This window comes from Homo sapiens, chromosome 20 (assembly GCF_000001405.40).
Source record: "Homo sapiens chromosome 20, GRCh38.p14 Primary Assembly".
Lineage (NCBI taxonomy): Eukaryota > Metazoa > Chordata > Mammalia > Primates > Hominidae > Homo > Homo sapiens.
Genome location: NC_000020.11, coordinates 55591519 through 55614319, shown reverse-complemented (window position 1 = coordinate 55614319; position 22801 = coordinate 55591519). Strand labels below are relative to the sequence as shown.

The following is a 22801-nucleotide window of genomic DNA, read 5'->3' as shown; positions in this document are numbered from 1 at the left end:
CAGCTGGGGGTTTTCTTTTTTTTTTAAAATTGTAACTAAGTAAACATGTAACAAAGTGATAATATAAGCATAACCATTTCATGAGACCAGAGATCTAGATCCTAGTAAAGAAGGCATGGAGGAAAAAACAAAAAGGAAGAATTGTCAACATCTGTTTAGTCAGGCAAAAGGCATTTGCTGTGACAGTGTGCAGTTCCTGGTACGTATAGGACTCAATACCCATTCTGAATAAATAAAATAAATGGTTACATTTTCACAATTTATTTTTATATATTCTGAATATATAGATATTTTTAAAAAACCCTGTTTTTTTTTTTTTTTTTTTTTTTTTTTTTTTTTTGTAGTGTAGTGTAGTCACTTTCCAGGGTAAAAGGTTGGTTACAGGAGGCTAAAAGACAAAGCCTGCGTTTCATATACAGTGCTGGCACAGCAGCTGAATGGGGAATTTCGATCTGGCCTCTACTACTTACAGCCATGTGTGTCCCTTGGCAAGTTACTTAACTATTATCTAAATTTTAGTTTTTTCACCCATAAATTATTATACAGTATCTCCCCATCTTTATCGTTTTTGGGGGAGGATTAAATGAGAAAATGTAGTGAAGAAAAAAGTACAATGAATGGCAAAGAACAAGCAATGAATACATGAGTTATCTTTAATATTATTTGTTACTCAGATACCAAGTTCTAGATGCTAACTTCTGTAATATTTTTAGTTTGTATTTATGAGATTCAAGCCAAAGAAATTATCTCAGTGTGAATATTAGTGTTAAATTTTTAAAACAGATCACTGGGGATGATTTTTGCATTTATGTTGTACTGAAATCTGCAGTCTCTGGACACATCATGATTAGAGTTTTGACCATGGAGGAACAAATAATTCATTTAACTGAATTTTAAAAAAACAGAAAGGAAGCATAGATAGTGTTGTTAGGTTTCTATTTCTGCATAAGCAATCTCACATACTTAGCTCATAATGTAACTCAGCAACACAAAGTTAGATCCCATTTATCTATTTTGGCTTTTGTTGCCATTGCTTTTGGTGGTTTAGTCACGAAGTCTTTGCCCATGCCTATGTCCTGAATGGTACTGTAGCGTCTGCACAGCAAAAGAAACTACCATCAGAGTGAACAGGCAACCTACAGAATGGGAGAAAATTGTTGCAATCTACTCATCTGACAAAGGGCTAACATCCAGAATCCACAAAGAACTTAAATTTACAAGAAAAAAAAAAACAACTCCATCAAAAAGTGGGCAAAGGACATGAACAGACACTTCTCAAAAGAAGACATTTATGCAGCCAACAAACATATGAAAAAAAGCTCATCCTCACTGGTCATTAGAGAAATGGAAGTCAAAACCACAATGAGATACCATCTCACGCCAGTTAGAATGGCAATCATTAAGTCAGGAAACAACAAATGCTAGAGAGGATGTGGAGAAATAGGGACACTTTTACACAGTGTGTATATATATATATACATTTTTTTTGAGACGGAGTGTTGCTCTTGTCGCCCAGGCTGGAGTGCAATGGCATGATTGCAGCTCAGTGCAACCTCTGCCTCCTGGGTTCAAGCAATTCTCCTGCCTCAGCCTCCCGAATGGCTGGAATTACAGGCGCCCGCCACCACGCCCGGCTAATTTTTATATTTTTAGTAGAGACAGGGTTTCGTCATGTTGGCTGGGATGGTCTCGAACTCCTGACCTTGTGATCCACCCGCCTTGGCCTCCCAAAGTGCTGGGATTACAGGTGTGAGCCACCGTGCCCGGCCTACAAAGTGTAAATTAGTTCAACCATTATGGAAGACAGTTTGGCAATTCCTCAAGGATCTAGAATTAGAAATACCATTTGACCCAACAATTCCATTGCTGGGTATATACCCAAAGGATTATAAATCTTTCTACTATAAAGACACATGCACACGTATGTTTACTGTGGCACTGTTCACAATAGCAAAGACTTGGAACCAACCCAAATGCCCATCAAGGATAGACTGGATAAAGAAAACGTAGCACATATACACCATAGAATACTATGCAGCCATGGAAAAGGATGAGTTTATGTTCTTTGCAGGGACATGGATGAAGCTGGAAACCATCATTCTCAGCAAACTAACACAAAAACAGAAAACCAACCACCACATGTTCTCACTCATAAGTGGGAGTTGAACAATAAGAACACATGGACACAGGGAGGGGAATATCACACCGGGGCCTGTCAGGGGATGGGGGGCTAGGGCAGGGATAGCATTAGGAGAAATACTAATGTAGGTGACAGATTGATGGGCACAGCAAACCACCATGGCACATGTATACTTATGTAACAAACCTGCACATTCTGCACATGTACCCCAGAACTTAAAGTACAATTAAGAAACAAAACAAAGTTATTATCTTGCAGTTTTCTGGCATGTTTTAGCTGGTTTCTTCGTGCAGGGTCTCACAGTTCTGCATTCAGGTGTCAGCCAGGGCTGTGATTTCATCTGAGGCCAGGAGCCCTCTTCCAAGCTCACTGGTTGTTGGCTGAATTCAATTCATTGCAGTTTTAGGGCTGACCCTTAGTTTTCCATGTTCCCTACCACATGATTCACTCCACAGCATGGTAGTTCTCTTATTCAGCACCAGCAGGAGAATATATTCTGCTGTCTCAAATCTCTCTAACTTCTGTCTCTGACCCTAGAGCCTCTTTAAAGGGCTCACCTGCTTAGGGCAGGCCCACTCACACTCAAGGAGAAGGAAGGTCTGATACTAAGGCATCCACATCCAAGGAGAATTTGGGGGCCATTTCAGAATTCCACCTAATGCAGATAGCAAATGAAAATTTCACCAAGTTACTGAAACTTTGCTCAGTTATTAAATCAATAGCGGACAGATGGGTCTTCACTGGCAAAAAGTCATAGTTGGTATCTAAACCTAGTCCCTTTCTCATTCTAAGAATATGATCTCTCCCTGTGCTACAACTATATGAGGAGGAATAATTCACTCAAAATGCATCTTGGAGGAAATGAGGAAGCAATCACCATAGTCATGCATGCCAAGATATCTTAACACAAGATCTATTTTTCCTGATTGTGTATGGACTCTTCTTTGCAATCCTATTTCTGACACCTCCATGAGGACCATTATTTGATCTCATCTAGGGGGGAACAAAATAATTGGCTTAATTTAGTAGGCGAGTTTCCAGTTTTGTGATCTTATTCATTATACCAAAGAGTTCAAAATTCTATTTCTCTTCTCAGTTTTCTTGTAGTTTGGAAGGAACTATGCATTGCTATATTCTCCTGATTGCCTGAGCAGTCGCTTCAACTCAACCGCAGTCTGAATTATCACTAAGCCTCCAGCCTGACATGTTGATCTATCCAGAGTCTTTGCTGAAGCTGCCTAACAGGAGACCCGATGATAACAGAGAATAAGTCATGTCACCTCTCCATACCCAGAAACTATAGAGTCTTAGCCAGTGTTTATCCAGAGCTTGTCAGATTTATCTTTCAGATTCTGAGGGAAAATGGATGAATGATATGAGCCCAGTGGAAAACTGTCAATGTATGTGGGTGTGTCATTCAGAGCTTCAGCCAATTACTCAGGATTCATTATGCAATGGTGCATTTTTTTTTTCAATATTTCTTTTGCAGAGTTTTAGCAATTTTAGGCATTTCTGGATATTTTTTCCTGGAATCTCATTCTCCAAGTGCTAATTTGAGATGTTGATGCTGGTGACAGCACACAACACACAGCACGCACGTGCACAAGCATACCAAACGAACACACACTACATATTTTCATTATATAATAATTTAAAATTTTAATATAAATACTAGTACATTCAGAAAACTGTCTCTTTCCTTCAGTGCGCTTGTTATAGAATGCAACTACAAATGTATTTATCTGATTCTTTATTTTCTCTCTTACCTGCTAAGCTCCATGACAGAAGGGCCTGAGTTTGCTTTGCTCACTATTTTATTTCCATTGCCTAAAACAGTGACTATCATAGAATAAAAGGTTAGAATGTATTTGTTGAGTGAGTTAACGGTGCAGTGATTAAGTACACGAATGTATGTGAACCTCCAAATGCACTTTATATTCAAGATTCTCTATATGGTGGCATTATTTAACTCCTCAATATTATAACAAACCCCAACTGTAACTAATTTCACAACAAGAGCTTGTTTATTGTAAGAATTAGAAATTGCTAAAAGCCACAAATAAAAATTTACCCATTACCTGCCGGGCACGGAGGCTCATGCCTGTAATCCCAGCACTTTGGGAGGCCAAGGCAGGTGGATCAGACGGTCAGGAGTTCGAGACCAGCTTGACCAAGATGGTGAAACCTCGTCTCTACTAAAAATACAAAAATTAGCCGGGCGCAGTGGCGGGTGCCTGTAATCCCAGCTACTCAGGAGGTTGAGGCAGGAGAATTGCTTGAACCTGGGAGGTGAAGGTTGCACTGAGCTGAGATCGGACCACTGTACTCCAGCCTGGACGACAGAGTGAGACTCTGTCTCAAGAAAAAAAAAAAATTACCCATTACCTAGAGTTACTCTTATAGTTTGATTTATATACTTCTACCCTTTTTATTACTGTACAAAACTGAATGTCTATGATATTTATCAACTATCTCTTTAATATACCTACTTTAATATATCAAGAACTTTATTTATGCCATGAAATATTGTCCTTTAACTCAATGTTTAATAGTTATCTGACATTCCATCTTATGGTTAAATAATAATTTACTTATTTTATGCTCTATTTTCTTTCACATTAAATTTCTTTTTAAAATGTTGGTGTCCCTGAGATATTATGCCACATTGCTAGAAAGACAGCTTACAACTTATGGTCTCCAGTAGATGTATCTTTTGCTTTTCTTTCATAGTAACACCAAGTCTTAGTATTTTAAGACAATTTTTAATTTATTAGGTAAAAGTAATATGCTTGTGACTTTAGTATTCCCTTCCTAGATTATTAGTGTGATTGAATGTCATGATGGACAATTTGATGTATCAACATCATGGCGAGGCCACAGTTCCTAGTTATTCAATCAAATAGTTGGCTAAGTGTTGCTGGGAAGGTACTTTGTAGATATGATAAAAGTCCATAATCAGTTGATTTTAAGTAAGAGATATTATCATAGATAAGCTGATTGGGCCTGATCCAATCACATGAAAGATTTCAAGAGAAGGAGCTCAGGCTCCCTGAAAAAGAAATTCTGCCTGAGGACAGAGTCTCAGCCCATGTGTTAGAGTCTCAGCTTCCTGAAAACTTGCTCCCCAGATTCTAGGCCTACCCAGCCGGACGTCACAGTTGCCCAAGCTGAGTCCTTGCAGTAAATCTCTCAATATGTTGCTCTTACTATTTCTATTTTTTCTGGTCGAACCTTGCTAACACAAACTTTTTTTATGTTTTGTGAATTTCCCATTTATTTTGCTTGCCTATATTTTTATTGGAGTATGCTTCTGTTTATTATAAATGGGATAAGTTCTTTATTAGGTAGCTTTTTTTTTTCCTATTTTTTCCCATCCCCACCACCATTTCCAAATGCATAGGATGGAGAATCTGATGGCTCACTTTAGGTCAGCAGCTTACCCCTGGTTCAATCACCCACGAACAGGGTAATGGGATCAAGCAACACAAACTGGCTTCGCAGGGCCCCTTCTGTGAAACCCTCTTAAGTGAGGTATGAAAAGAACACTTTCTAGGAGAAGGAGTCATTGCCTCATGGACTGTACAGAACCCTACATTTGAAATCTTGACTTAAAGAAGTATATAAAACAAACTTGTCTGTTGACCACCTCGGGCAAGGTATAGAGCACCTTTCTATAAAATACAAGGCTATGATCATTAAAAATAATTGTTTCCACTATTAAATATATTCTGGAGGTGGACATCTGTTGTTTTCTATTTGGCAGCAATGCCCCATTCCCTTTCCTTCTAAGAACAGCACCCTGAATTTTCTTTGTGAAGGGACCTTTCTTTCTCAGTCCTGTGGCTCACACGGGATGCTAATGTCATTTTGTTCATAGCCTTTCAGAGCTGGATGCATAAGTCAAGCAGCATCAATGCCAATGACCTGTGAGGAAACATTTAAGAAGGAGACACTACCTCTCTTTTCTGAAGAATCAAATCAGTGACTCATTCTAATTCTCTTGGGTGTGTGGAAGGAGGATGAGAGCTTTGAACCTACAGCTACTGTTTAGTAACTACGAGGCGATGTCCTGAGATTTCCTACTAGGTCTCTGTCTGAGGATGTAGTCAGTATTTGAAAAAAGAACAGAGGGATAAGGAGAAAAATCATCTGTAGCATGACTCAAGTTGCTGGATCTAGCCTCACCTGAAGAGATACATCTTGGACTTTTCTGTTACATGACCTGACATCTTCTCTTTAAATATTTTTTGTAGACACAATTCTTCATGTGGACTTATGTATTAAATTTTAGCTGAATCCATGAAATAAATTTTTATAAATGGCTCAAATACTCCAAGTTAATGCTTACTTTTATCTTTCTTTCCCTTAATCTGAAAACTGCACAATTCAATATATTTTTATTTTGAAAATAAAACATTGAGTTTTTAAGCCAAGGGTTGTGACATACTAGGAAGAAAGAAATCCAACAGCCAAAGTACCTGAAGGAAAATAAATATTTAAAAAGACTGCGAGAGAAAAGAATGACTCTAATAAAGTCAAAGATTTTGTCACTTGGCCCGAGGACCTTCTTGCTATAAAGAATCTATAGGTGGTAATCCATATGTCATAATCACTACACAGCAGTCAGGAGAGATGAGAGAAATTAGAAAACAATGCTTTCTTTTCTGGAGAAGAAAAGCATAAATATTGAAATAAAATACTAGGAAGGAACACGAAGGTAAAAAGGCTGCTGTTTCATGCGATAATTAAGACAAGACAGAATACAAAATAGAGTAAAAGGGGGTCTTTTTCATTCTCCAAAAGTGAGCTGGACTTTTTTATGGATGTTTCTATTTGAGAGTGGGAGTCAGTGGGAAGTGAGTGAAATGGTATTTATGGATGAATGGCAGTTGCTTATATTTAAGAGACAGTCCAGATTTTTTCCCCTCTCCAAATAGTGCAAACTCCAGGGGGATGGGTGGGCATTATAAAAATGATAAGAAAAGAAAAATTTAAAAAGACACTTGATAACTTAGACTCTTATCGTCCAACTAATCAACTGTTTTCTTCTTATTTGGTTAGCATGTCAGGTCTTGCCACATACACCATTATAATGTCATATGACTATTAGTCTTAACAATATTGGTAATAATAGTAGCTAACATTTATTGAAAGCTTATGCCATACAAAGTATTATGGATTAATTCGTGTCTCCCCAAAATTCCTGTGTTGGGGTCCTAACCTTCAGTACCTCAGAATGTGACCTTCTTGGGACATAGGGTCTGTACAGAGGTAATATAGTTAAAAGGAGGTCATTAAAGTTGGCCCCAATCCAATCTGACAGGTGTCATTATAAAAAGGGGAAATTTGAAGACAGACATGTGCACAGAGAGAATGTCATGAGAAGATGAAGGGAATACTATGCAGCCATAAAAATTGATGAGTTCATGTCCTTTGTAGGGACATGGATGAAATTGGAAATCATCATTCTCAGTAAACTATCGCAAGGACAAAAAACCAAACACCGCAAGTTCTCACTCATAGGTGGGAATTGAACAATGAGAACACATGGACATAGGAAGGGGAACATCACACTCTGGGGACTGCTGTGGGGTGGGGGGAGGGGGGAGGGATAACATTAGGAGATATACCTAATGCTAAATGACGAGTTAGTGGCTGCAGCACACCAGCATGGCACATGTATACATATGTAACTAACCTGCACATTGTGCACATGTACCCTAAAACTTTAATAATAATAAAAAAAAGAAAAAAAGATGAAGGGAGAGATTGGGGTGACGCTTCTACAAGCCAAGAAACGTCAAAGATTGCTAGCAAATTACCAGAGCCACGGGAGGTACGTGAAACAGATTCTCCCTCACAGCCCTCAGAAGTACCCAACTCCACTAGCGCTTGGATCTGAAGATGTTTAGCTACCAGGACTATGAGACAATAAATTCCTGTTGTGTAAGCCACTCAGTTTATAGTAGTTTGTTAAGGTTAACAAAGTACTAACACAAACTAGCAAACTAACACACCAAGCAATGGATTAAACAAATACACATAATATCAATTAAATACTCAAAGATGCCCTGTAGAGGTGGTTACTCATCTCATACCCATTTTGCAGAGGAGAAAGAAACAGACTGAAAGAGATTAAGTATGCACAGCTCCTAAGTGGGAAGTTGGGGATGCTCCTCTTGGTCTGTCAAATGCAGAGGGCAGGGGTCATATCTCCCTCAGTTTTATCTGTCAGTTTTATGTCTGCTGCTTTTAGCACAGGGTGCAATGCATTTTCAGTGAGTACATACTGAATAAATAGTTATGGTTCTATGATCCTCATATAAATTTAATGATAACACAAATAACACAAAAGTTTGTTATAGGAATGTTCTATGTTCCTGCATAGTCATCATTATTTTTATTGGTTATATGTAATTTCATCAATTTCATGTTACTACAATTTATTTGGTCATTCTCTTATTGTAGGGCATTCGTGTTCATTTCAATGTCTACTATTATAAACAACACCACTATGAATGTTGTCATGCCCAGGCATTTTTCTAATTTTTTGGGATAGAAATGTTTCTTATTTTCTTATGATAAACCATTAAGTTTTTGAACATTTCTATGGTTGTAAAATTTATCAAATTAGCTTACAACAGATCAAAAATCAACTCTTCATAGTAATGCATAAGTGTAAATATTTTATAAGATTCACGTCCACATTGGGTTAATATTCACAGTGATTTTTAAACCTTATTAGTGAGGTTATAATTGCTTTGAGTTTAGTCATTTTAATTTCAAGCCCACTTTAACAAGTATCCTAACCAGGCTCTTTCTCATTCTCTTATTGAAATGTAGATTAATTTTGGACTTCCAATAACAAAGCTAGTTCTAAATCCTGAGGTGAGTTATACAGAAGAAAGAAGACATTGATTAAATCAGATTATCAATCAACTGATAAAATTGATGAAACTGAAGTCAAATTGAACTAGTATACCGATTTACTTAAAACACTTGCCTTAATATAAGTGGATACCAATACAAAGTATACATCGCAAATTGATTAAATGACAGTGTCTAGCATCCAGCTGAAATTTTATAATTAACAAAGATAAGTCCTAATATGTTTCAGAATTACAACTTCAAAATTACATATACACAACCCTGTTGTTAATTAGCCTAAAACTGCTAAATATGTAAAATGTGAAAGTAGATTAACAGAAAAGGTACTCGAAACATGAATTTTTTTCCTTAATTCTAACAAACAGAAGACATAATTCAGTCTACATTTGAGAATGTTAGAAGTTGAATGATCCTTGGCCACACTCAATCTATTTTTCTATTTCTCAAAGATTATATTCAGCTCATAAAAAAAGAATAAATTAGACATGCTGGACCCATGCTGTGAATTATCTGAGTAAATGTGGTAAAACAAGGAATACCTTTTCATCCTCCCTACCATCACCAAGTGGCTACTGAGAGGCTGGAAGGTGAGGTGGGGAAGGTGGAGCAAGACGGGGAGACGGAGGGAGTAAAGATGAGAAGAGGGAGAGACAAGAAAGAAAGAAAGAAGGCAAGAGAGAAGGAAGGAAGGGGACAGAAAAGGAAGGGAGTATAGAAAGAGGAAAAGGAAGGAAGAAATAAAAAGCAGAGAGAAAGGAAAGAATGAAGGAAAGGAAGAGTGGAGACAGTGCACAAAAGGAGGCAGGCAGGAAGAAAAGGAGGAGGAAACCAACGACTGAGTGAGGAAGGGAGAGAGGAAAGAGGAAAGAAAACAATTTTTGGCACATGGATAGGTAGGTGAAGATTGCTGGCACAAACACAAAACTCATTTCTGTATAAATATTCAATTAATTTCAAAGTCCAACGTTCTAATTACATTGATAGTGCCTTATGAATTGAAATTAATTAAAACAATAATTACATTCAAAACAAACAATAATTGCATTTAACATTTTTTTCCCCCAAATACAAGGAAGAATCTTTAAATGGTAACTTCATTTGGAAAAGTTCCAAGCCAGGCATTTCTCTGAATTGGTCAATGGCATCTATCTATAAGAGTACTTAATTCCTTTGCAACTGTCCAGAGAAAATGAAAGGGGGCAACAAACTTACTTCTGACTAAAGCCAGAAACCAGTGTAGCCCTGAATCCCTTTAAAAACATTTCAAATGTCTCTAATATCATTTCAACCTAGCTTGTTATTGCACACACTTTAAGAAAGATTATCCTTAAAAATGAAAACCCAGTACTTTCCTCTCTTGCTGTGATAATGGAAAAACTAAACTGATTTGGTCAAAGTGTCCAAGATTTATTTTCTTCCCTTCGGCATTACAATAAATGATTAGGCAGAAACAAAACAGGAAAATCTTCATTCTGTATGAGCCAGCAGTGGCTCAAAGGGAAGTAGAAAACAACGGTTGTCTCTGAGCTGCAGTCTACTTCATCTAACACCAATAAAGCTTGTCTGGACGGGTGTATTTATAGACTGCAGAGAGAGTAGATATAAATATTTGAATACCTTTTATTTAGTAGCAATATCTATTCTAATGTTGTATTTTTTTGTCTTTTCTAGTAATTGGTGTGGATGCCCAGAAGAACTGAATTAACTGCATGAGCAAACTTCTTAATATTGTTTAGGTTAGTTCTAGAACACGTTGGGAAAATGTAACTGGACTAGTATATAAAGAAGTTACGTTTTAGTTCTTCATTCTTTCAAACATCCACTAACTTTTTTTTAATCAAAATATTTTTCTATGTGCCAAGCACTACTCAAGGTTCTTGAGATAGAGTGGTGAATCTGTTATCTATTGACACATTAATTCTGTGAATAATTATCAACAATAGCAAAAAACTATCTAGAACAATAAGCATCTATTACTGCTCATCAGCCTATGGGACACCTAGGTTGCCCGCTGTTCTCATCTGGGCACACTCACCAATCTGCACTCTGGTACAGATAGGGTACACAGTTGAGCTAATCTTGGCTGGGCCCTCTCGCTTGTTTGGGGGGTTAGTTGGCTGTTGATGGGTCTAGGATGGCCCCTCCTAGGACAACTAGACTCTCTCCTATGGTCTTCCGTCCTCAGGTTAGCCAGAGTTTTATCTCCTAGTAAAGCTAGAGTACTAAAGAGGAAGGGGAAAGTACTTGAACCTATGCTCAGAAGTCACCTACTATCAGTTCTTATGCATTCTATTAGCTAAAGCAAATAAAAAGCCAGTCTAGATTTCAGGGCTGAGGGACTAGACTTTACCTCTTCTAAGATGAGGTACAAAGCCACGTTGTAAGGGGTAAAGATACAGGAAGGGGAATAATCAAGGCCATTTTTGCAATTAGTCTTCCATAAGTGATGAGTGAAACCTAATGCTAGAGGCAGAGAAAATAAGTACACAAATAAGATAATTTCATATATTGATTGGTGCCACAGTTACTGCATTCTGGAAAGGGGTAATTCCTGAGACTGGGGGTAGGGGGATGGGGAGGTTGTCAAGATAGCATTTATAAAGAGGAACCAGCCATTAAAGATCTCTGGGAATAGCTTTCCAGGCAGAGAAAACAGCATGTGCAAGCGTCCTGAGTTAGAAATGAACTTAATAATGAGTTTAAGGAAGAGAACTATAAGCAGAGCATTAACATCACAGTACAAAATTTCCAGAGAGACAAGTCTGGCTGCGGTGGAGAATAGATTACAGTGGGAGAGGATATAGTCAGGGAGAGGTGACTGGTTTGGCTAGTTATTCTCACTTAATCTTACTCCAAGATCAACACATTCACCAAAGACTGTAATGAAAATTTCTTAGTGTTCAAAGAATTTCCGCATTGAAGATTTTCATTAATTTTTGAACAACATATGAGATATTAAAATGAAGCTGAGGAAGACACTTGGAAAACAATGGACACAACGCTGATAGAATGCCAATGATTTTGGGTGTCATATGGATAGACTGAAAGATAAATTTGTCTTAATTATGTGCATTGATTTGAGAGTTCAGTTCCACTTAAGAGAAATTTTTGGTGTTTCATTTGCATTACTGAGATAAAGCTTGCTTTTCAAACACATGTAAAGGAAAGATGAGTTAAAGGAAAAAATGAAATTAATATAGGTGAGAATAGGACTGGGTCTAAGGTAAGGTAAAAGCGTACAAGATTTAAAAGTGCACTCACAGACACTTCCCATTATCACAGGGCCCTTCTCTTGGTAAAAAGGTGGAGCTAGTCAGTTTGTCTTCAGGGTACTCTACTCTCCCTTTTCTTCTGCTTCCTTCTATTTCTCCTGGGGCTGTCTTTGCAAAGTGACCATGACATGCCACTGGGAGGGAGAATTTGAAGTCTCTTTAGATTCATTGTTGGTACTTTCCTTTGATAGCACGGTGAAATTCGACAAGAGGTGAGTAGTTATACATTAGTTGCTAGGTGATAAATCTAAAATTATATCAATGCGTTTGTACTTTAGGACAGCAAAATCCATTTGGTCTATCTTCCACTATGAATGGGTCCTTTTCCCATGCGTGGCATCTCACATTGATCATTTGGGGACTACTGGTTCACTGCATCATACATTTTTCCAAATGTTGATCTAATTCATTCTCAAATATACAAAAAACTCACATTCATTAATGTTACCAGATATCTCAGCAGAAAAGTATCCTAAGTATTGGGAAGTTGCCAGGCTCATGGTGGCACATAGAACTTAAAAATGCTATTGTTCACTTGAAAGTCCAAATTTTATCACTGGTGGCAAATATTGTTTGTTTTTCCCCTTAAAGTGATAACTCCTTTCATTCACTTTCAAAAATACACCTTCATACTACACAAGTTTGAGTAACCATAGTTTGCCTACCATATATTATAGTTAAAAATGGCATTCCAGGTAAAAACAGGCTCATTTTCCCTGCACGTCCCTTTCCTTGATATGTGATAGCACTTTGGTGTGCTTTATGGGAACTTCCCATTTCACCAAACGGAACACTAAAACGCAATGTATGTAAGGGTCAAGAGTTAATAACATTAATAATATTTATTGCTTCATCAAGGATACTTGAGTAGAACTGGTTATCTAATATTATACATTTTATATATTGGGTAAAGATCCAGTTTTCATTCAAGCACATATATTTCCTTGAACTTACTCATTAGTTGAATATATATGTTCTCAAATGAACACTTGCTCTTTACCTAATGAGCCATGTATATCTACTTATATTAATGACATACAAATTAAATTCACACTGTAATATAGGAATAAACAAATAGTTTCTCCTACTCTACTTTATACTCAACATAACACAAATGTTTCTGTGACTTTTAATCACCAAAGTGCGGGGATTTCTCGCCACCAAGCAAGCAATTCCACAGATTCTCCAGCAGACATCAGTTGGGTGTTTTCTAATTCAATTCAGCTCTGACACTATCTACTGAAGATAGCATTGGATACCACAGGTTGAAGACTGCCCCCAAACTTCCCATGCCAATTACAAGCCCAAGGTTGTTTCACCTGTGCTTCTGAACAATTGGCTATACATCAGGCTTCCCACAACTGCCTCCTTGGGTTTGATTCATTTACTGCAGCAGCTCACAGAACTCAGGGACACACTCAGAATTACCTCTACAAGTTTATTATAAAGGATATTACAAAGGATACAGATGAAGAACCAGACGGAAGAGATGCATAGGGCGAGGCGTGTGGGAAGGGGCTTGGAGCTTCCATGCCCTCTCTGAGTGCACTGCACTCAGGGAACCTCTGTGTGTTCCACTATCCATGAACTCCCCAAACCCTGTGTGTTTTTTTGTTTTGTTTGTGTGTGTGTGTGTGTGTGTGTGTGTGTTTCAGGTTGAGGGGTTGGGTATGGAAACTTCATTAAGTAGGAATGACTGATTGGATAGTTGGCAATCAACTTAGCTTTCATCCCCCTCCCATCCCTGAAGGTTGTGGTGGGTCTGAAAGCCCCAATCCTTTAATCCTGCCTTGGTGTTTCTTGCTACCGGCTCTACCTGAAGATGCCCAGGGACTGCCAGTTGCCAGTCAGCTCATTGGTATACAGAAGACATCACTCCAGAGATTCCAAGCGTTTTAGAAGCTATATTATCAGGAAATGGGGATGAAAACTAAATACGTATTTTAACCATATCACACATATACACACATTGGTTCCAGGATCCCCAACAATACGTAAATCTGAGGATGCTCAAGTCCAGTGGTCAGCCCTGTGGAACCCATGGATACAAAAAGTCCACCTTCCTTATCCATAGATTCTGCATCCCACCATCACTGTGTTTTCCACCTGCAGTTGGTTAAATCTCCAGATGCAGATGCAGAACTGTGGATAAGAAGGGCTGACTGTGTATATAATTAACTGCCAAGTGCTTGGAGGGGAGGAATACAGCAGCTACTAGTCCAGTTTGGTCTCATTGTCTTGACTTGTTGCCACTGCTTTAGTTCTCTTTCTACTTTGCAAATAATTCACCTGTTTCTTGTCTCCTCGCAGAGCCAGATTCTCTGCTATGTCAGAGCTAGTCAAGTGGATCAATAGTTTTAATCGGAGATCACACGTACTGAGTAGGATGAACTGTTGTGAAGGAAACACTTTAAGGATGGCAAATACCTGGCGTACGTGGTAAATCGCTCTACCTGCACCCATGGCCGGCCTTGGGAGTCGGTCACTGTACTTTCTCCTGTTGAGCTCACAATTATTATCATCATCATCATTATTATATCAGCACTCAATAGTACTACAATCCTCTGGAAATTATATAAACTTTTTTCTCATCTCATCCTTCATGCAAATTAATGGCTCTAATAATATGCCAGTGGGATAAATGTTTTTATAAAGGTGACTACTTGTGGTCTTCTCAAATAGAAAAGTTTCCTTTCCCTTTTTTTCCCTTTATCTATGGTACCAGTTCCTTCTTCTCGGGATCAGAACAGTGCTGATCTCAGTGCTGAAAATACCTGGAAAAACATTTAACAAATACCAAGACTGGGCTCCAACCCAGGAGGGTTATGTTTGAATCTCTGGGATGTCTTGGGAATCTATACTTTAAAACTTTTAACCTTTCCAGGTGAGTCTAACTTAATAAGATTGAGCTACTGGTTTTTGATAGCATGTGGAGGCTGTCACAAGGGCCTTGGGGTTGGTTTCTTCTAAGGGTATTTGAAAGGCTTTTGCTTTGTCATCTAGGTATTTTTATTTTTATCTCTCACAGAGAGATCATTAAATGTTTGTTTAATCACCCTAACAAGGGGAATATTATTATTTAATAATGCCACATAACTTTCAAAGATAGAGCCCTAACACTAATGGATAATAACTACTAGTCCCAAAGATAAAACTGTTCTCATCTCCTATTTATTAAAAGAATAGTCAACTGGATGTTTTAGACGAAAAAAAATATTGCTTAGCATAAAATAGGTTGTTTGTTGTTCATTTCAAAAAACTGTTAGATGGATATTGCTCTTGGGTCCTATGGTGGAGATTTGCCCTTCTGCTTATGCATACCACATCTATGAATCCCTGTCCTATGTTTAGAAAACCTTCCTACAATGAAGGATCAAAGCTCAGGTACAGGTTCTCACCAATTTCTGGCAGCTTTGCCTTAAACATGCAGTTAAGCTTAGTCTACTGAATGCTCCCGAAAGAGGCAGGGTGCATTTGGGATTCATGTCAAAGGTGGACACAGTCTCCAAGGTGGAGACAATCCAGTGTGCAGAGTGCTGGTGGCAGCCGATCCAGCAGCATGTTGATGAATGTCCAGAGCGGCAGAACTAGGGCTTCCCATTCCTGCAGTCAAGTTTGTGCTCAGACGCAAATCCCTGGTTCTTGCCCATTTTCCCAACCAGGCACTGTGGACTCTTCAGTCACTCCATGAGCTAACAAATACCCTTTCCATCATTTTCTTTACTGCTTTAATAAATAAAATGTTTCTCATTTCTTATGCTTTTAATGAAGACAAAAATATATTAACTTAAGGAAGATCATATAGTTCTGTATTATCCACCATCTATCTTTGAAGGCAACATGGGTTTAGGATGCAGTTTTGCCTTTTCTTAAAGATCTGGCCATATGGGTCTCAATCCTCAATGTGACACTAATTGGCTGGATCAGAGGAACCAGTGTGTCATTAGAAAGAGAACCAGATGCCCTTCCCATGTGAGATGCTTGACCCATTTCCATTACTAGCTTGATTCCCATAAGACATGATTTCAAAGATATGATTTCATATCTTTGCTCATTTGACTAAACAAATTGTATATCTTATAAGAAAACATAAAATGCACTGAACTAATTCAAACTGTAAGTTGAGTAAATAAGTCTGTGTAATAACAACAATTTTGTAAAAAGCATACATAAGTTTCCCGTACATTTACTTGCTAAGGGTGCTAGTATTCTCAGAGAGTTAAAAATAGGAAAACATTAGGGAAACATGATTAGTTACACAAGTCCCAGGATTCTAGAAAATGAAACTTGAACATATTTCTCAGAGGAGTCATAACTATTCCTGATGCTAAGAACAGATAAAAATTTCTCACATGGATTCTAAAAAAGAAAGAAAAAGAACAGTGTGGAATATATGAAAAAAAGTCCTGAATAATACCTTCACAATGAAGATGAGGACTATTTCTAGAAGAGTGTTTCATTTAATCTCATAAAATAAACCAGTTTCATTAAAGTGCCTTGAAGAGAGGATAGGCAATATAGCACAGTAACTAAAGTTGCCACCAATATGTCTTAATCAAAGAAATAATTTTAGAATGCCTGTGATCATGGAAATCTATTGTTGGTGCTACTTAGTATCCATTCACCTTGCTTCTGTTCACGATGTGCCATATTCCTGTAGGGGCACCCTGCCCTGGTTCTTGGTCTATGTACTTTGAGTGGCACCTTTAGTTGCAGGAGAGGTTCTGTAAGTTGGGCCTGGCCAATGGCAACATCAAGTTCCTCTGAAATTATGAGCATTATTTTCCAAAAGTCTATTAACCAATTGAAAGGTATGTATAAAAATTACAACTTTGTTGTTTTTGGCCATGATTACAGAGCAGGCTGGTTGTCTGAGTTTTAAAGAATTCCTGTCTGTCTCTTCCCTTGAATGACCTGAATGCACGGAATTTTCATTCTTCATTCCCAATGAACAATGACATCTTTCCACATTAGATTGCATTCCCATTGGAAATATGGGTATTAGTTCAAAAAAAAATGGGTACAATATTTTGGGTAACATTTGAATAAGGATTTTTATTTAAATTCACTCCTAGTAATTCTCTTTACATGAGGTCTGAGAGTATAGTATCCATGCAGGATGACTCTGTCATACTCATTTAATATTTTTTCTGCGTCTTCACAATGTAATTGACTTACAATTAAAATTAAGTTTATGGGTCCTTTTCATGCCTCTCTAGTTGAAGGGGAATGTAATTAGATTTAATTGAAGTTGATTCTCCAAATGACACCCCTAGATACAGCAGACAGCATACACATGGCTTAATCTCCTCTTGCAGAGCACATATGCATTAAGTCATTTAATAGAAGAAGCTACACATCGAAAGCTTTCAAAACAAAGTTGATAAAAATAGGATATGACAGATTCCTCCCTTTACTTGTTAAGGTTACTGCAATTATGTCTGATTTTCCAGGACATGGCCTGATAAAAGATGTTTTATGAAAGTAGGGAGGTGGGGCAGAAAGCAAGGGAAAAAATAATCTCATAACTTTTATCTTTCTCAGCACTTTCCCATTAGATAATGAGACTGGGCTCAGGGAGAAGTTTTATACCTTGAATATACAAGATTTGCCTAAAGACTGATCTGTAGGTGGCCTTGATCCTACCAATTATGTTGTTTTTTAGAGAAATAATGAAAGATCAACTTTAGAATGATGCTTTTAAAATTACCTGCTCTTTGTAAAATGTCTTTCCCAAATTAGCTTGGAAAAAGTATTTTGTAACAGCTTTAAGAGCATATTAACAAAAGGAAATTAGACAGCTAAACAAGAACAACAATAAGCTTTTTAGGCAATAATCTGGTATTTAATTGTGATGAACCTTAACCACAAGCAACATTAAAAACTTGAACAGGAAAAAACTTTGAGGTATTATCAGTGTGCTGAGGTTTTCATTAGCCCAGTGGAGATTGGAATATTGTCAATTACATGGTTAAACTCATCAATTGTAGATAGTTCAACGAGATAGTTCAAGATGAGACAATGATTTCTTTCTATTACTTGCCACTGAGGAACCTCCAATATATAGTTATCTATGTTGATGAAATTAAGTGGAAAACTGGGCAAATTTAAAATTTTTTGTTATATAGACAAATAATTAAGCATACCTGCATGTCATCTGATGGGATTCTGTTCCAACTATTTGTATTTCTGGTCCTTCATATTTGAAAATGGTTATGACTGAGCTACCGCTAAGACCCATCCACTTCCAACTGATTTGTTTGTTTACATGATGAGAAGGGATAAGGTTGGCACAGTCATAATCTCTTGAAACATTTCCATATTTGACCAATGACTTAGGATTTTAAATACTGACGGATTATATTATATACTATATGACTTTGGATCAGATCAAAGACACAGCCAGTTTGGGTCTTGTAAAATATATAAGTAACTGTAAAGCAATGTGTGAAATGAAGTTGTCAAATTAAGTATTTTTCTGAAGACTTTACAATTTTGTTTTAAAAATGTATTTAAAGGGTACAGCCCCAACTAAGATCCCAAGCATAGAGGAATACATGCCAAATATAATGAAGCCTATGACAGAGAATTAACTATGAGAAACTTTAATTCTATATTGTGCATTTTCATTTTATACATTTTTTCACATAAGAATGATTTTATAATGGAAAAATATTTTTGACCTGTTATGTCTTCTCCCTAAATGGATGTGGTAGAGGGGTAGAGATTTTATAAGAAAATATTTATTTTGTAAGCTTGGATTCAAATGCAAATTGTGCAAATTATTTTACCACAGCTAGCAACAAAGGCAATGAAGAGAGCATTAGTTGAGCACCTACTTTGTACTAAGTGTTCTGCACTTTTTACAATCCTGAAAATAACCTGTCAAGATGTGTTTTATTGCCCTCATGTTACAAAACTTTGAGTCTTGAATAGATTATATAATTGGACATAATTACCTAGCTAATACCTGGGTGAGCCCTATTTGTGCCTGTGTTTGCAAAATTTTGACATATGTGCTTTTCTATCCAGGCTACTATTTTCTGTTCAGGAGGAAGTGACTCTTTTCTATTCAGATTGAAAGCTGTAGCTACAGGAACAAATTATTGTGATTCATTCATTTATGAAATGTTATTTATATATCACATGTTAAATTTTAGCAGCTACATCTACTTTATAATAAATGACATAGATATTACTAAATATATGATTGAATGCTCAATTCTATCATATATGTGTTTTTGGCCTTATTGATATGATCATTTTATTACTTTTCTGCTGATTTATATGCTGAATGAAAATGATATTTTTCTAATGTTAGATTATTCTTGAATATCTGAACTAAAACTTATTTTTAAAATGTTATGTGGATTCTATTTGTTGATATTTTGTGATTTTTCCATCAATATTCATGGGTTTGGTTTATAGGTTCTGTTTTCAGTGCTATTCTTGTTAAGCTTAGGTATTTGTGCTACAGTGGTTTTGTAAAAAGAATTAGAAAGCATTAATTCTAACTTTATGCTTTAGGACAATTTAAAAAGCTCATGAGTTATCTGTTTCTTAAAGATTTGTAGGAATTCATGCATGAAATTTTCTGAAACTTTATTGAGAATTCGATCTTTGAAAACTTTCTCAATTTCTTCCTTGGTTTTGAGTTTGTTGAAGAATTCTATTTTTTTGTTGGACCAATTTGTAGTATAGTACTTTTATATTTATAGAAAATGGTCTAGTCACATTCTCAAATTTGTTAGCATAGAATTGAGCAAATATTCTGTTAAATACTCTTTTAATCAGTTCCATTTTCCTAATAAGTTTCCACAGTGATGTATTTCTTTTCTTTCTTTCTTTTTTTTTTTTTTTTTTGAGACGGAGTCTTGCTCTGTCGCCCAGGCTAGAGTGCAGTGGTGCAATCTCGGCTCACTGCAAGCTCTGCCTCCCGGGTTCACGCCATTCTCCTGCGTCAGTCTCCTGAGTAGCTGGGACTACAGGCGCCCGCCACCACACCCGTCTAATTTTTTTATTTTTAGTAGAGATGGGGTTTCACTGTGTTAGCCAGAATGGTTTCAATCTCCTGACCTCGTGATCCGCCCGCCTCAGCCTCCCAAAGTGCTGGGATTACAGGCGTGAACCACTGCACCTGGCCGATGTATTTCTTTTTTATAATAAAATTATTTGTTCTTATTTTAAAAAGAATTATTTTATAAATTTTTCAATTCTATTTTTCTGTTTTCCAATGTATGCATTCTTCTCTATTGATGCTATTTTCCTTTTTATTTCGTGTACTAATCAATTTTACTTTTTGTCTTTTACAACAAATTAATTCATGCTTTTATATTGATCTCTTCTATTTTTCTGCTTTCCTTAGCTCTTTGAGTTCTTTTTTTATATTTTTTATGTTGAAAACACTATTTTTCTGTTTTCATTCTTTCTGTTTTCGGCAAGGAAACATTTATGATTCTGATTTTCTATTGAACAAATTCTTTGGCATCTTTCCATATTTTTTATACAGAGAGTTTTCAGTATCATTGTGTTTTAACTATTCAGCAATTGCACTTCTGATTTTTTTCTGTGGTTCAGGAGTTACTCAGTAGAAAATATTTTCTTTTAAATTCTAAGTAGTCAAGTTTCAGTTTTTTCATTTGTTACGTGTTTCTAGGTATATTGCATTGCTGTCAGAGATTATGGGCAATTATATATGTCTAGTTTCTGTTCTTCAGAATTTTGAATTTGTTTGGAGTCTAATTTGTAGTCAGTATTTGTAAATACCCCATATACACATAAGAAGTAGCTGCATTCTCTGTCTAGAAAGTATAATCTACATTTACGGGCTATGCTCTTCAGATTCATCTATATTTAACTTTTGTTTCATATCTTTGTGCCTGCGAAAGATGCAACGGTATGATTGTGGTCACAACCGCTAGTATGTTCATGTGATTTTGTGTTCGTGCTGTATCTGGAAGGTCTTGTTACGTATCTCGGTGTGTGGGATTCTTATGAATGGTGGTAAGTTGGCTTCAACTGTACATGGGCATGGCATGAACATTGGGAGGCAGTGCTTTCCTTTTCATTTATCTTCAAGTCTTCATTATGAAAGAAGAAAATCTGAACTTGGTGGTATTAGTATACTTTTACTAGAGAAGAGCAAGACTTCGTAAGAATATTGGGTAGAATAGAGTTGTTTTGAGAATCTTCTAGTTGCCCACACCCATCTACTCTCCATTATTCTTGCCTCTGCTTTCTGTCTCAGGAGGCAGACAAGTGTGTTTGAACAGGGCAATGGCAAGAGATTTGAGAATTGCTGGATCCTTCTCTCTGGGCCACTTAGGGTTGGCTACATTTTCTTCTCCAAATGCAGCAGCTTCTAGGAGCCGGGCCTCCTGAAAAGCTCTCCGTTCTGTGTCCTTCCTGTCAAGGGTGGGTAACTGTCCCCAGCGGCTGCTATTTCCAGAGCATCACACTATTCCTTGTCAACTTTAGACTTGTCCCCACCAGTCCAAACCTTTGTAAATAGTCTGTTTTCAAAACTCCTTTTATCTGTTTCTTTCTGAGACTTTCAGTGACACTAGCACATCTAGGGAAATTTCCAATTTTTAGTTTTTGTTTAATAGTTACCTTCTATTTTTTGCAATAGAGAATGATTTTGTATTTTGATGGTGATATATTGCTTCTGTTTAAGATGTATCATTTAATTTAAAAGAATTCAATGTAAAGAAATTGTAGAGCAAATTACAATTTAAATTTCATGAAGGCATAACAAAAACTTATGAAACTAGCCTATGAATTAAGCAAGTTTTAAAAGCGCTGCTTTATACATTGCAAAGCTACATTATACATTATTTCTTTATACATTATAATGCAGTAATACCAGGCCTGATGCTATATAATCTCAATATTTTTCTATTTCTCTGGTATATTATTGATCATCCTTTTATTTTAAAACAATTTTCATTACTTTGATTTGGTATGTATTTTATTTTGTAGTATATTTTGATTTTTTTATTCATTATGAAAGTCTTTTTAATGAATATGTGATTTCTATTTATTATGTTTATTATGTTTGAGACATTGCTCTTATTTCTGCAGTAGGCTCAGTATGTTTCCTTGCTGTTTCCTTTTTTAAAATGCTATACTCTAATTTCAGCATTTAACTTTTGTTTTATATCTTTGGGATTTGTGAAGGATGGAATAGTTGATGATGTTTAAAACCACTAGTGTGTTTATATGATTTTTGTGTTCTTGCTATTCCTGTAAGGTTTTGCTACATATCACAGTGTGTGACATTCTTATACCTGGTGGTGGTAAGATGGCTTCAGTTGTACATGGGCAATTATTTAGCATTAATTTCATTTTCAGTTAATTAGCATTTTCCCACATGCATCTCTTTCAGCATTTTGAAAGCATTTTAATGTTACTTGTATTTCCTGAATTAGCATATTTTAATCCTATATTATTAACAACTTCAGAACAAAATAACTTTCATTTCTTCCTTTTGTACAACAAG

At 36.6% G+C, this 22801-nt stretch overlaps 1 long non-coding RNA gene across 2 annotated transcripts in view; it reads left to right on the top strand.

The window, feature by feature from the left end:
• LOC105372676 (uncharacterized) overlaps positions 1-22801 on the top strand; it is a 60004-nt gene that overhangs the window by 23144 nt on the left and 14059 nt on the right. The window contains exon 4 of one of the 2 annotated variants that reach the window (XR_001754683.2): positions 6018-6470. The exons of the other annotated variant lie outside the window; for it this stretch is intronic. This is a non-coding gene — a long non-coding RNA (uncharacterized LOC105372676). Of the gene's footprint in view, positions 1-6017; positions 6471-22801 lie in introns of those variants that run through there. 2 annotated transcript variants of the gene reach the window in all.